This window comes from Homo sapiens, chromosome 15 (genome assembly GCF_000001405.40).
Source record: "Homo sapiens chromosome 15, GRCh38.p14 Primary Assembly".
NCBI lineage: Eukaryota > Metazoa > Chordata > Mammalia > Primates > Hominidae > Homo > Homo sapiens.
Window position 1 is genome coordinate 60,533,756 of NC_000015.10, and position 16,308 is coordinate 60,550,063.

Below are 16,308 nucleotides of genomic sequence, written 5' to 3' on the forward strand. Positions count from 1 at the left end.
ATAATTAGGCACCATGAAGTCCTTGAACCACCTGTTAAACAGAATTTATACATGAAATGAAGAAGACCTACTTGGAGCTGCTTCTGTCCATGTCTCACCTCAAGGTGTAATGACAGAAATTAGGGATGAACAAAAACCTCTTTAGGTCCTAGCATTTAAGTCAGCATCAAAACTACCTGACGCTAAACTTGGGCCTTTCAAGAGTTATCTTCATTCCATCTTAACAATGAGGGAGATCAAGCATGTCTATTTAGTCCTTTACAAGAATATGAAGGCCCTGGGCAGGGCATATTGAGAACAATGAGTAGAACTGCATCTGGACAAACTGAAAATGATATGCAGTATTCCTGTACAGTCGGCCTGGACTCACAGTGGATTACTAATTAGAAGTGAAGCAACGATGTTTAAGGCTGTGACCAAGATGCCTGCCTGGCACGGAGGTCTGCTCATGATGGGGGTGGCCTTGGGAGTACTATACTGGCCCCAGCACTTCCACCCTTGGAATGGCTCATGTCCTGGCAGGGGTGAGGGTAGGGGTGCGGGTGGGGAGCAGTTGTAGTACAGACCCCAGAGTTTGGTGCCACTGTGACACAGGACTGATGGCCTGAGTCAGGCTTCAGCTTGCAGGGGTTTTCAGATCTGGAGGATATTTGAGCGGAGACAGTCACGAGATCTGTGGAGGCCAAGACGCTTAGGATAAATGGACTCACTGTAGATTGACTTGTATTTCCAAACAGGGGGGCCATTCACTTAGATCTTTGTCCCCATGTGTCTGTGCTTAGTTCCAGTGGGCTAAAGAATCAGATTTAATTGAAACAGGCTTCACCGGGAATCTCTCGGTAAGGTGGTAGAAGGGTTTCTGGATAGCAAGTTGAGGTATTCTGATTGGTTAAACTATTCTCCTAGGCTTCCTCCTGCTTGGTTCTCTTATCTCAGATGACAATTTCAGTTGCAAATGCACTTTAGGAAATGACTAAAATCCTCCTACTCCAAAAGCAAACCCTCTGAATGTGATCTGATCACACGTGTTGATATTCCCAGAAAGCGAGCATTTGCAGATTGGAGCAGGGCACTTGCTCAGCCCTTCATTTAACCCAACAATGCACAAAAGCCCTCTCCATCCCCCATTTTAGTCAATTTCCAGAATTCAAATGAATCCATGAGAAAAAAATGCAGTCAATGCCTTGCAAATTTTTCAAAAGGAGGCAGTTTAGTTTTGTCAATTTGAGTTTTCAGTCCAACAAGAAGGAGGAAGACAAAAATCCCTCTGCCCTTTGCCTTTCATCGTGTAGGCTTTTCAGTTTCCCACCAGGTAGTGTGGTGTCTTCTCAAAACAATCTTCTTTTAACACAAATTATGAATCTTGGCCCATATATATACTGCACACATTAACTCAGCCAGCATTTCAAAGGATGAGTTCTGTCAGACAGCACTACTGTCAACGTTCACAAGTATATTGATTAAATTAGCCCACATACATATTCATCCCAGCAAAGAGGTTTATTGTGTAGTGGAATATCTGGAGCAAGATGCGCACATATAATCATGAATTGGCTTCACAATGAACAATCTTGCTATGAAAAATTCTAATTTGCCCACATTTTCAGCCCTATTGCCTAAATAATTTGCTCTCTCATGCACCCTGTGTAATTCAAGCAGGCTCTCCACACCTGCAGAGGCAAATGCAGTTTCAAGGAGCTGACAACAAGTGGCAGCGGGCATCAGGAAATCCTGGAATGCAAGGGTGCTAATTAACCAAGTGGTCCTTGGGGCTAGGCTGTCATTTAGCACTGCACTTCTAGAAGAAGTTTGCTTTGAATTTTTAATTATAAAAGGAACAAGAACTTGGGCACTAGCATTCTTAAGATGACATTTATTCCTCAGGACCTATCTTAGGAGATAACATGGTCCAGAGAACAATGCCCATTTTCCCAAAGAATTAAAAAAATAAAAATTGTATGACAGGCACCCAGTACTTCATTCTGTGGGTGAGTAGTGATCTCTCAATAATAATCTAATTTATAATAATAATATCTACATGTATTTGTGCTAATAATGTGTCACGCATTATATCTCACTCACTCCTCCAATACCCTATGCGGTAGGCATCACTTACTTAATTGTTACTGTCATCATTGTCATCATCATCATTGCACTCTTATTAAGCAATCACTAACCAGGGCTCAAAAGACATCCCCTAAGTAGTTTGTTTAAACTTAACACACTACTCAGGAATTGATGTCAACATCTCTTGCTGGGAGTTATCCCCGTAGTTTATAACTAAAAATAACCATCAACCTTCTAGGCCACTGATCTCAGTTTCACAAAATTCTGGTTAGAATTTTAACCCTAAAATGACCAATGTCAACGTTTGACAGTTCTTAAGGCCGGGCAGATTACTTAACCTCTCTGAGCCTCAGTTTCATACTTGAAGATTCAAGGATGTGATACATAAATGACATACCATATATATGATATCTGTATGAGCATTTTATATATGTATTCTCTATATATGCCCATCACATAGTTCTTAGAAATAGCTGGCACTCAGTAAATAGTAGTTATTATTATTGTTGTTGTTGATAAGAAATCCTGCCTTATAGTGAAATGAAATTCTTTCCTCCAGACTTTAAGCTCTTTCCGAGGTGGGGATAGAGAAAAGCTGCTTATCCTCCAAATAACATGACAGGCAGTTCCTACCAGCTACCACAGCAATCCTTCACAACATTGCTGCTTAACTGTTTGCCACAACACAGTGGTATGTTGCAATAAGTTGCAGGAGTGTCACAGGGAATTGGTTACTAATAAAAGTTTTACAAAATTAAAGTTTTTTATTGGTTCACATAAAAACTAAACTAATATAGACCCAAGGTTACCCCAATAATATCGTTCACTCTAGCTCAATTGCACAACCAAATATTTTCTTGAATTGGACTGAATGGGGTGGGGTTACTGCTGGCTTGCCAGGAAACGGCCAATGGCCGAACCTTGGGTACACCTATGAGAACATGTCTGTCATACTTATGAATGTCAACCAATTTTGTGTGTCTTGCAAAAACGGTCAAAAACTAGTGCTTTAAAAAGCCTATCTATCTTTTACACAGATCTGTTGATGGTGTTTTTTTCTGGAGTGCAGAGAATATGGAGGACTTTTCACTTGCTATGTTAGATATTTCTCTAATGTTTGAATTTTTTACAACCAGCATGTATTACTTTTCTAAGCAGAAAAACCAATAAAGATTAAAAAGAAAAACCCTAAGGCATTTGATTTTATTTTCAGTAAAATGGCTTGAGTCCTTTATGGATTAGTCACTTTATTTTATCCCCTGTTTAAAACTGCCAGGGTATTAAAGGCTTCTGCAGCTGCCTGAATGGCGGCCTGGCTTGCGTGTCAAGGTTAGCCGGGGGAGAGCTGCAGAGTCTTCACCTTATTCCCTGGAGGGACTTCAGGAGCACCAGGCTTCTAGAATTTTGTGGCCCCCTTGTTTCAGGGCTTCTAAAGATGGTCATGCAGGTTGTGCTCTGCCCAGTGCGGCCTAGCTGAGGGGTCAAAAGTAGAGGTTGAAATGCACCTGGCTGTGAGCCTTGCTGCAGAGTGACTGCAACAGCCTGGAGAGAGGAAACCTTTCTTCAATCTGTCTACCCAGACAAGCTCCCTTTTTTCAAACCCTCCTTCCAGGGGTAGTGCCCCTTCTCTACAGTGCTAGGAGTGGACAGTTCAGGGAGCAACATGCTTTCTCTCCACTCTGCCATGGGAGGCCCCAGGACACCATAAGGGTTTGCAGAGAGCTCTCATTACATCTCCATGTGGAAGGGGAACAGACCATCGACCTGGACCTGTGGCTTGGAATAGAGTATGGGTATGTTCCATAGCACAGGCATGTTCAATGGCCATCAGGGATGAGTAGAGCCGAGTTATAGCTGCATCCTATGCAAACTAACGATGAACTTGTTTGGCCACTTGGTCTGCTAAGTTCATTTTAAATATAACACTAATATGTTTCCCTAGTACATTATTTTCTTCTCTTGATTTTGGATTCTTTCATGACAGTATTTCATCCTTGCTGAACCTCACCAAAACAATTAGATCTCCAAATAGAAAGCCCTACTCCTTCAGTAAGCAGTCTCGCAGTCATTTTTGGCAAAAATAGTAATGCCTGAGTTTTTGCAGAATTCTATATAGTTTTCAAAGTTTTTATCCTTGTTAGCTTGCTTTGATTTTGGTGCTTTCAACATCCCTAAAGGAGGCAGATAGGTATTATCATCCCCATTTTACAGATACGGAAAATGAGCCTCAGGAGGGTTAAATGGCTTCTTCTCTATGTCCAGATTTCCCAGGGTTTTGATGTAGACATAGCCACAAGAAAGAGAGACTTGGTGTCTCTTTCCTATTCAAGATTATTTGATGTGTTTAGATTTATGCCATCACTGATCTGGGGCTCTCAAGAGGACATGACACCAAAAAGAAAGCACTGGGAGTCAATTCAGCTAAGAGGTGGAGTTGGCCCTTCCAGGTCTCCCTCTGAGACTGAACTCCCTGGGTGGCCTCAAGCAATTCACTTACACCTCCACTTCCTCCATCCATAAAAATGGGAATAATTCTTACCTCCCAGGCAGGTGGTGGTAAATGAGTGCTCACAAAGCTCTTTGAAGATGAAAAACCTATATAAATGGGAAGCTTCAGGAAGCTTGCCACATCATTCATGGCAAAGATTGCGATGCTGTGTCCTATTACCCATATCCAGCTATGCCACAAAGAGAATAAAAATTACACAGTACCATAATTCTCATCTGCTAGCTAGACTTACTTAAATGTTTTTTAATCATTGGTTTCCAAGATGCTTTCCCAAGGGACTGATGGGTCCAGATGTTACTATCTTATTCACAACTTAGAAGAAAAAGAGCACTTAGATGGAGAGGTCGCCTCTCTATGCAAAGTCCTTGACCTAGCTTTATCTAGGGCTTGTACGGTCTTGTCGGGGCATCATGGAAATGGCACGATTCCCACTTGTTAACATAATAAACATATATGTCACCCTCTGACAGACATCCCAAGCCTTATTATTAAGTTGACATCTGACTCAAATGAGTCTATCAAATTATAGCCATTAAAAAAAATGTTCTGCATCTTACTAAACAAGCCACTTCTCAAAAACTTCAACTGGATTGTAATTTCTCCGGAAAACTTAATGGCTTTAAAAAAAACATTTTTCAATAAAAAGTGTTGAGTATACCTGCCAAATGCACACACACACACACACACACACACACTCCTCAAACCATCAAGAGATCAAACATTTGTGAACTAAATTTAAAATAAGACAAAATTGAAGTTTTGGAACTTTGACGATTTTTCTTCAGTCTTTTAAAGACTTAGTTGTGTAAGAGTTAAAATACTGCGCCAGAATGTCCCATCTGAATTAAGAGAAAGCTGAGCTGTGTGTGCAGGAAATCTCTGAAGAATAAGGAAGCCAGGCACATCTTCTCATGTGGCTTTCTGTGAATATGCAGGTGGTTCTGACAATGGGAACTGAATATTAATCCTTTGTAATATATTTCCATCCCTACTAGATTAAGCTTTCTAGAGAAACTGACTCACATTCCCTGATGCATATGTATCTCTGCTAAAAGCCAAATCCAAATGAGCACTTTTATCCCTAGACAGGGAAATTCTGTCAAATCAGAGAGGAAACAGATTTTTCATCTAGAAGAACAGTGGGTGGCTTTTTTAGATCCAGTTCTCTCTAGAATTCTCCTATCACATAGTAGTGCACAAACTGTTTAAGGCAGTTGACTCTATACCTTTTTTGGTATCTACCTGGTAACCAGTTTAAACCTTGAGTGAAAGACCTGAACAGCAAGAGAATAAGCTTCCTAATACTTCATCCTACTCATCCAGTGGGTCAGATACTAAATAAGTAAGTTCTCACCCAATAAATGATACCACCAGGATCAGCAATACAATCCTTTTTTTTTTCTTTTTGTTTTTCCTCTCTTTTGCCTTTGTAAACAACAGAACGTATTTGTTGTTAAGGATTTATGGGGTTATGTGATATCAAGGGCTAAGATAAAGGTAATTGGCTATTTAACCAATGGTTCTCAGTTGGCGTAAGGTCCCTCTAAGATTCTAGAATTAACTACATTTTAAAATATAAAGTCCTTGAAGATTTTCTAGGACCCTGGGATCAGTAACATTTAACAAAAGTCCTCTTTCTCTAGAATCTCTCGGGGTGGGTTAAATGTCATTTCATATCAGCAGGAAAGAGAACCCATTTATTTTGCTAAGTGATTAGACTATGCTCAAGGGAAATTCCTAATAACGTTGTTTCCAACAATGGTGTCCCTTACATAATTCTGGATAATACTAGACAAAAAAAGTCATCTGACTCACAGAACTGCATACGTATTTTCTTGCGATCAACCTCACTCTAGATACCAATTCCTTTTTTTCTCCTTAACAGGAACAATTACGCTACATTTAGGTGAAATCCTCCTTACAGCTGAGAGCACTGGGGTCAACTCTTTGCTTTCATTGCTCAAGGTCTGTTTTTCACAACAGAAAAGAACATCTTTAAAACCATACCAAATCTGGTGATCTAGTTTCTGCTCAACCGAAAACATCAGAATTACACTTACTGCATTTTATGAAACAATCTTACTTTAACCAATTACCCCCAACATTCTCACACCTAAGCCTACGAGAAAACCACTCCACTTTGCAGCTGTCTTAACTTCACACCAAATTTCACATAACCCCACAAATTCTTAACAACCATTGATTACTAATTCCACCTGCACAATTTCCATGACCCCCCCCCCCCAAAACTGTGCGGTCACAAAACCCAGCTGCATGAAGTAAGATGTGCAGAAATGGGTCAAAATAACAAGAATCCAGATTAAGTCATAAAAGCTTACCAGGCAAAGGAACCCATCATTTCTTTCCATGAGCTCCGATGGCATTCTGAAGATCTGCTACTGCTCATTGAATAGATGTCACTCAAGAAATATTCCCCAACTAAATAAACTGGATTCATGGTAAAAGATTGGAAATAACTTAGAACATTAAACCTTGAAAATGCATTTACATCCCTCTATAGCAAGCCCAGAACACTAAAAAGACAACATATTTATAGTCACAGGAACATGGTGTCATGACACCAAAACTTCCTTGGTCCACAGATCATTTTAGTGGGTGAGGACTGTTAAGAGAATTAGCCCACAGCCTGTATTTCTGCTCCACCTCTGTGCTGTTTTCCATTTCAAAAAAGTGTCCTTAGAATTAATAAGAGGATGAAGCTTTGGATGAGAGATGAGGGAAGGATCCGGTTTTTATTAAAAATCACAGGCAAATTATTTAGGCTTGCCAGAAGCGGAAGTGTAAATGTTTTCATATTAACCACTTTAAGATTGTAAGATCTTGAAGAATTAGAACTCCTAGAAATTCAACTAGTTCCTTCACCTCCAGTTTCCAGGACATGGTCATTAACATCTAAACAAAAAATATGGCAAGTTCTAAGCCTTTCAAATACATCACAGATGTATTTCTGAACTGTGGCTCAATGGTATTTCAAAAAATTCTCTTTTGTAATGCTTTTCTAAGACAACCAGTTCAGCCAGGCATACTAATGACCAAACAACGTGAGGACTTGTTTCTGACTTTCCCTAAATGCATGGTCTTTAAACTTGCTGATTAAAGAAACATTTCCATTCTTAATTACAACATATAAGCTCAACCTGAGAATGGATAGCAATATTTGTGGATAGCTGAAGCACAGTTATTTCTGTGCCTATTCCCAAGGGGAAGTGGCAGGAGCTGGTGGCTATTTCTTAGTAGGAAAGGGAAATACAGAAAGAGGCAGCAGAGCTTTGGGGATTTAAGTAGTTGCGAGACATAAGGAGAAGAAATGCTCTGGACTAAGCTAAGAGATTGTCAGATTTATTTTAAGAAGGTCTGACATCTGAGCATCAATGCACACACTATAACACCTCATAAATGTCATTTTTTTCCCCAAGAAAACGAAATGTATAGCCTGTGTATTTATCTTGAAGCCACTTATTTTTATGTAAGTCATGCACTAGAGGCAAAGTAAGAACACAACAGCCATGTAAAGATATCAAAACGAGGCCCGCACCACTGTCCTTCCTATTCCATTTTCAGTTTCTGCTCCTCTAGTCCAAGGTGCTTCTTTTGCCTACAGAGACAAACATTTCAGATGACATTCTATGACTGTCCTGAAAACACTGCTATCAGCTATCCACTGTTTGGCAATGTGTGTCTCTGTCACTTAAGATAGCTTGAGTGAGTGAGTGTGACATTATCACTGCAATAAGTGAATCTTTCTAATTTGCAGTAAAAGTATACCATTCACACACTTTGGTACTTCAGTACGGCAAGGTTTTGAAATCCATTTCACAAGTGGTGGCAGCACATTTCACATCGGATGGAAACACACTCTGATTGCTAACAGCTGCTGTGGGCACAGCTTACTGTCAAAGCCAGAGCTCAGAATAGCAGGTCCTTTTTAATGCCAATAGCTGCTACCATCTTAAATGGTAACACAGGCACACACACACCACACATACACACACATACCACACATGCACACCGTATGCTCACATGTACCACACATACGTACACTACACACATATACCATGCTCACACACACCACAGATGCACACCTCACAGCACAGCACACAGGCACACCTCACACACACGGCACACAGGCGCACCTCACACGGCACACAGGCACATCTCACACATGGCACACATGCACACCTCACACAGATGGCACACATGCACACCTCACACACACGGCACGCATGCACACCTCACACACACGGCACGCATGCACACCTCACACACGGCACACATGCACACCTCACACACGACACACGGGCACACCTCACACACATGGCACACGGGCACACCTCCCACACACGGCACACGGGCACACCTCCCACACACGGCACACAGGCACACCTCAAACGACACACGGGCACACCTCACACACAAGTCTATTCAGCTGCAAGTCCTGCCTCCACTTGCTGAGAACCTGCATGACTGGGCACCAAGGATACGGCACACACACGCACCCACCCCACATACATACAGTCCACACACACACAACACATATACACCACACGCACCACAGATGCACACCACACATGCCACACACACATACACTGCACACGCACCCTACACACACCCCCCACATGCTTACACATACACCTCACCCCCCACCCCCAACATGTGGGCCTACACACGAGTCCATCCAGCTGCATGTCCTGCCACCACTTGCTGAGAACCTGCGTGACTGGGCACCAAGGACACGGAAAGGATACACAGAACCCACCAGCGCACCTCGTCTTGTTACGTTAGCTTCACTGCATAGGAATTAAGGATGAAAGTGAAAACTTTTTTTTTTTTTTTTTTTTTTTTTTTTTTTTTTTTTTTTTTAAGGAAAAAGGAGAGAGTTGATTATGACCTTGAAGACAAAGTGTAGAGATTTGATTTGCAAAATCTAGAGTCTGGGGTTGAATCTCTACCCTGACATTTGTTAGCTATGAGAACTTGGACACTTTCTTAATCTCTCTGTGCCTCAGTTTCCTCACCTTTAAAACGAGCCCTATCTCATTATTACAGGGTACACAAGTAAAGTGCCTGTAGCATCAGTGCCCACCACATAGTAAGGGCTCCATAAATGTTAGCTATAATCATCATCACTGTCTTTTTTTTTTCTTTAGACAGGGTCTCACTCTGTCACCCAGGCTGGAGTGCAGTGGTGCGATCACAGCTCACTGCAACCTCCACTTCCTGGCCTGAAGCAATCCTACCACCTCAGCCTCCTGAGTAGCTGGGACTACAGGCACACACCACCACACCTGGCTTTTTTTTATATTTTTTTCAGTAGAGATGGGGTTTCACCATGTTGCCCAGGCTGGTCTTGAACTCCCGGACTCAAGTGATCTAGCTGCCTTGGCCTCCCACAGTGCTGGGATCACTGTCTATCTTTTAAGGATGATAGTATTTGGCAGGGGCTGCAGCTGGAGTTGAGGGAACTATCAGAAGAATGAAGGATAGGTCACTGTATTCCTTTTGTTGTGTAACGACATGGAGTTTAGCAGCTTTATTTCTAACACAGAGGCCTAATGTGAGAAACAACACTAACCAGGGCACGATAGAAAGAAACCAGTGTTTCTTTCTAGGGAAAGCCCACAGTGAGGCTGGCATCTTGGAGAGGTGGTAAGTGGAGGAAGTGGGAGAGAGGCCTCACACACTGGTAAAGTGGGGAAAAGACTGAACTACAGGGTTCGGAGGCTCTCACAACTGCCTGTGCAGTGAGCAAAATTCACCAAATGCCTGTAACGCTTTGTGACCCTCTTTCTCCAGAGCTCAGCCTCCTCTTCTGTTCTTAGGCATAGTGCTGCACTACATAATCTTCCAGAGCCAGTCCTGCTGTATTACACTGTGATGTGAAGAGTGAGCTGAACTCTCATTTCCCCAACAGGGACCTCTTTTTATGGCAAAACCCAGCAGGTTTCATCTCGTCAGGGAAAAGGGATAGAAAGTGGAAGAGAATTCTACCTAGTAACTAATTTTTCATTTTCATTGGTTTAGGAAAGGAAATACAATGAACTGTTCTCTTCGAGATCCAGAATAAAAGTTCTGGCAGCTAGAACACCGTTTTTATACACCGAACCCCTCGTGCTCTCCCTGCTTTTTTTTGTTGTTGTTGTTGTGCTTAATGTTAGAAAATAACATTACTACTATGAAACGAAGAGAATTTTTTTTCAAAACCATGTCTTGCCATTACAGATGAGACAAGGCAACACCATGCTAATACGCTGTTGATGTAAAAATAAAAGTTTTTTTTCCCTTCAAAGTAAACAAGTTAATTGAACGTGCTAGGACAGAGTTAGGTTATTTTTTTTTCCCCTCTCTTTGAAGGCCACTAATTGTGCCCTTTTGCTTTAAATCAATAGAGGCAAAGCCCACAGCAGATAGTGTCAGTAATGCAAATCCATTTCCTATTGTAATTCACTTTTCAGAACAAAACCTTTTCCATCAGCAAAGCATTTTAGAACCTCAAGCTACACTGTTCCCACCTGCAACTGTCTAAGGTATTGGAGGTCAAGGACAGTCCAAGGCCAAGTCAAGGACCATCAGGACACAGAGGAGTAACTTCTGAGGCAGCCCCCGGTGGTAACATAAAAGCTTAATATGCATCAGACAAGTGCCTTCGCTGTGAGATGTTGGGGAACCAAGCCCAGTGGGGTGGCTGGCGTCAGCTCAGTGTTCCAGAAAAGCCAAACTGTTCACCACGACTTGCCCTGATTTTGCCTTCACTGCTATTCAAAGAGGCCTGAAGCAGTTACTGAAAGCAATTCCAAGAAATTGAGTTAAAAAAAGAAAATTAAAGTTTAGAAAAAAATCATTTGAATAAGTGCGTAGACTTACAAATAAATTCTGAATGGAACAGAATATTTGGGGGGTTCATAACCTTTGGTATATTTGTTTTAAAAACCAGCCGCACCTCAAACACACCCACCAACAATGAGACGAATGGCTAGCACTTATGAGGAATTATTATTCATTTAAAATACCCTTTAAACTATGTCACAAAGATAAATTTGTTTAGTCCTTACCTGTCCCCACGCTTCAAAATAAACCATAATATTTCTATTGAAGCCAGTTTCTTGTTCTTGGAATCAGCTTTTTGAGTTGTCAGTTAGGCTAGATGAGCTGATTAGTATGGAACTTAACACTGTCAGTAGCAAAACAGGTGCTCTATCAGAGAAATATCAATCCATTTTAGGAATGTTTTTGAGAGTGAACTGTGGTATCTATGAGAGAAAAATCAAGCCTTTTCCCTCTTCTGGTCTGCTACGGTAAATGGTGTGACACAAGGATGTTTCACTGCCCAATTAGCGTGGTCCATTTTAAAGTGAATCTGTTATTTTCCTTTCCTTCCTCATTCTTGACTTTTAGACACTGCAAGTTAACCTCAAAGAATGTCTTCTTTGGGCATAATTTTACAAATATTCTTTAAGATCCTTTATCACATTTCAAAGCACTTTGCGAAAACAAAATGTCCTCAGTGGGGCAGGCGAGATCTCAGGAATAGTGATAGAATTCATTTTAAATAAGTCTGTGTGATTTTTCTACTGTATCATTTCAGGGACTTTGCTTAAAGAGGCTTTAAGGAAGAACTTAAAATGGAGAAAGCCAACTTTTGAACGTGGTGATCAGGTTGCCTTCAGTCTCTTCTACGTCAGGGAGTCAAGGGGCTGTGGAACCATCCGTTCCACCTGCTACATGCTTTCTCACCCTTCTTCTAACCTGACAAATACTATGTGGCATCTCCATCATGGTTGACATTGCTAGGCCCTACCTTATTCAACTCTAACTGAAAAATGGGGAGCAAGAAGGGATTATGTAAGAAAAAATGAAAAACTTTGAGGGCCAACTAACAGATTTCCTAAACTAATGATGTATTTTAATATTCCAGGGATTTGATTTAGGACAAATTGTTATTTGGATGGATGCTTGTCTATTGAGAGAGTAATTGTTAAACTAAAGGAAACTGGTCACAAATACTTTAGCAGTGGCTATAAATGACCAGTGGGCCAAGGATTTTGAGATCGTGAGAGACTTCTCCGGGAATGTTGTCATTCATTTCACTCCAGTGTGGCTCTTTTCCTCCATCTGCGGTAAGCCAAAACAGTTCCCAGGAGAAACAGATAGAGACAGGAAAATAGGTAGCAGTTCTGTATAGTCTTCACTAACAGCTCATAAACCTTAAAAAAATGGGATTTTAATAAAGCCCATTTTTATATTTTTAAACATAAAATGGAATAAAATGATAGTTCCAAAGGACTTCCTGTGGGGAAAGCTTCAATGTCACAACTAAAATTTACATCCAATTCCCCAGCACACCCTTGTCCTCAACCCGAGTTTGCGTAACAGAGGTTTGCTGAGCCTGGAAACAGGGAATTCTGTGTGACTGCAGTAAAAGCACCAAGCGGCCTCATGATCAAACTCTCCTGCCTCTTAGTGATTTCTGAACTGGTGGCTGAAGTCAGAATTGTCCGTGATTACTATCAGATTATGACAATGAAAGTCACCATTCTGTGTTCTTTTGAGCAGGATTTTCCCTCGTGTTGTCCCTCCCTTCAGCTTCCCACACTCACTGCTTGCGTAGCATTTTGTTAGGGGAGTAGCAGTTCTGACACAACCAAAGATGTGTACGATCAACAGTGGGGTAATGTGGATAACTGACACGTACTGTGGGCGTGGAGATGCTCCTATGTTGTGGTGGATGATAGCCTTCGAATGCTCTTTGTTGTCTTCATTGTCATCCACTCTATTAATGTTCTAGAAGAAAGCTAGTGGCCAATATTTTCTTCCAACAAATTCACTGGCTCCAGGAACCTTGACACCAAAATGAGGATTGAGCGTCAAAGTTCTTATGTTGTCATTGCCCCAAACTACTTGGAGCTACTTCTTATGCAGCTGCTCTCAGTGCCAATGAGATAAGACACAGCTGTACTTTATAGTCCCTCTCCTCCTTTTTTTTTTTTTTTTAAAGATAGGGTCTCGCTCTGTCACCCAGGCTGGAGTGCAGCGGCGTGATCTCGGCTCACTGCAACCTCCACCTCCCCCAGGGTTCAAAGGATTCTCCTGCCTCAGCCTCCCGAGTAGCTGGGATTACAGGCGCCCACCACCACGTCTGGGTAATTTTTGTATTTTTAGTAGAGACGGGTTTCTCCATGTTGGCCAGGCTGGTCTTGATCTCCTGACCTCAGGTGATCCACCCACTTTGGCATCCCAAAGTGCTGGGATTACAGGTGTAAGCCACCATGACTGGCCTTTTTTTTTTTTTTTTAAGGAAAATGGCCTGGTTTGGTTTCTTCACTTACCTTTTTCAGCATATTAACTATTGGTTGTTTTCAAATATCAAGCTCACTTTTCTAGGAGAACTATGGCCACTATGGAGAATATGAAAACATTGCTGAAGGAGGTGAAAGCCATTTCAGAAGAAGAGTTATATATTAGCTTTTGGCAGTGACAGCGTTATGGGCACGGACATTCAGCCTTTCCAGTTGACTGCTTTGAAGGGGCAATGTTCACGTGGAAGTATACCTCCTAGTACGTTTGCTAAAATAAAATCAGCTTCATTACCTAATAACATAAATGACTTTGGGAGAAAACTCTGAGTCTCATGTTTTATTTTTCCTGATAATGCTGTTCAATTAGGGCAGACTTTGTGGAAATTCTGATTTCATTACCCATCACTGCTGCATGAAAATACGCTTTCTGAAGTCACGCTCTGAAAGAAACTAAGTTGTTTGCTACAACTACCCCTACACAGAAATTAGAAAATTATATGAGAAGAAGTTTACTTCAGCCTGCAGTTGGGACACAGGTTATTACTGAAAGTAGTCGTCGGCATGGTTTCTGGTTTCACAGTAAAAGAAGACGACTTGAAAGGACTCAGTGGTTTTGATGCTCTTCTGAAATGAAAACACTCAGTGAGCACATAGCATTGGGTTGTCATTAATGTCAGCCAAGCGAAAACACTGTCTCCATGAACACTGCAGTCATTTCCCCGCCGAGACCATGACTTTCCACTCCCTGGCATTTCGGGCACTGTGCTAGTACTTTTCCAAAAGAGACTCTTAAGGCAATTCATTCTAGATAATCAAACACACACAACAGTCTTAAATGAATAGGTGGCCTGAATTTGCTAAAGTCAGCCAACAATTTCCAGGGGAGAATGTGTTATTTTCTGAGAAATACTGTAAGGCAATGATGAAACCCTCAAGTGCTGGGAGGCACGAAGTATAACTACTACACTTCACGGTAAATAGCATTAGTGTATTTATTTATTTATTTATTTGAGACAGAGTCTCGCTCTGTTCCCCAGGCTGGAGTGCAGTGGCGCGATCTCGGCTCACTGCAACCTCCACCTCCCAGGTTCACACCATTCTCCTGCCTCAGCCTCCCGAGTAGCTGGGACTACAGGCGCCCACCACCATGCCTGGCTAATTTTTTGTATTTTTAGTAGAGACAGGGTTTCACCGTGGTCTCGATCTCCTGACCTCATGATCCGCCCGCCTTGGCCTCCCAAAGTGCTGGGATTACAGGCATGAGCCACCGCGCCTGGCCAATAGCATTAGTTTAAAATCATGTTGTGGATAAAAATGTAATCAAGTAGCTTTACATTGCTCTTATTAAACTTGATACACACAGTTTAACATGGTCTTGTGGAAGAAAACAGGAAAAATCTCTGGCATTCTCGATATGTTCTATGATATGTAGCAGCTCTTATGTTCTGTGTCTGTCGCCTATTTTGTAAACAGGCAACAAAACACCATACTTCATCCCAAAGTTACGAGAAACAAGGAATTAAGCATGTTGTGTTGGATGGAGTTAATGATATAACGTTAAAAAATAACCCCACAGTTTCCATCTACTCTCTTGCTCTCTGCAATCAAGCTGGGCATGAGAGAAGAAAATAAAGTGATTTTCTTAGGTAGCGAGCAAGTGTTGGAAAGTGGCATTTACTATATCACCAGGGCATATTTGTTGTTGTTATTTTTCCTCCCCCATTCATTGCCCATGAATTAATTTAAGAAACAAGGCATCACGGAATAGGCTAAATATAAAAGAGTATTTGCTATGTTTTTTAGTGTCAAACACTATAAGACCAAGGTACTAAACTTTGAATGAGAAAATATTCTGCAGTTTCTCAGGATCTCACATGTTTGTCATACTTCTTACAGTGGTAGTATACTATTTTTAATATCACTTTTATATTGCCGTGATTTTTAAACACCAAGGTAAATTCTCACAGAAAGATTGCCTGGGGATAGGTATGTGTGTGTGGGAGGGAGGATCTGGTGATACTCATATGGTAATCTTTTTATTTCATCCATTTTCTCTGCTTTCAAATTATAAATTCAAACTATAACGTCACTCTCCACCCCCTCCCATCTCCTTCCCAATCAACAAAACAAACAATAAAATTCATATTTTACTATGTGTATTGTGAAACAGCCTACAATAGGACACCAGTGCTTTTTAAAGTCCTACTTTTTATAAAGGGTCTGATTTTCTTCTGGCCATCAACTGAATTGTAAGGACAACATAGCTCATTTTATGAAACGAAAGTGATATTAAAAAACTAAGTGGCTGAAGATGTAATTGTCTATATGTGAGCTGCTTCCGACCTTGAAAAAAGTGTAGAAGAGGGGCCGGGCGCGGTGGCTCACGCCTGTAATCCCAGCACTTTGAAAGACCGTGGT

General features: G+C 41.4%; 1 protein-coding gene and 1 long non-coding RNA gene across 12 annotated transcripts in view, besides 1 other annotated feature; one reads left to right on the plus strand and one right to left on the minus strand.

The window, feature by feature from the left end:
- RORA-AS1 (RORA antisense RNA 1) overlaps window positions 1-16,308 on the plus strand; it is a 151,462-nt gene that overhangs the window by 54,578 nt on the left and 80,576 nt on the right. The gene's annotated exons all lie outside the window — the stretch shown is intronic.
- Window positions 1-16,308, minus strand: part of RORA (RAR related orphan receptor A) — a 741,019-nt gene that overhangs the window by 45,472 nt on the left and 679,239 nt on the right. Inside the window, exons 2-3 of one of the 10 annotated variants that reach the window (XM_047432929.1) lie at window positions 13,287-13,432; window positions 6,916-7,024 (exon numbers count right to left, since the gene is read on the minus strand). The exons of 8 other annotated variants lie outside the window; for them this stretch is intronic. The gene's annotated coding sequence lies outside the window, so the exon portion shown is untranslated. The remainder of the gene's footprint in view (window positions 1-6,915; window positions 7,025-13,286; window positions 13,433-16,308) is intronic. One more of the 10 variants, XM_047432930.1, reaches the window with a different exon arrangement.
- Window positions 14,573-14,622: a silencer, noted in NCBI's record as "silent region_6497". NCBI's record gives its function as "represses an Ori minimal core promoter by ATAC-STARR-seq in GM12878 lymphoblastoid cells {active_cell/tissue: GM12878}" and the evidence as "EXISTENCE:reporter gene assay evidence [ECO:0000049][PMID:35858748]".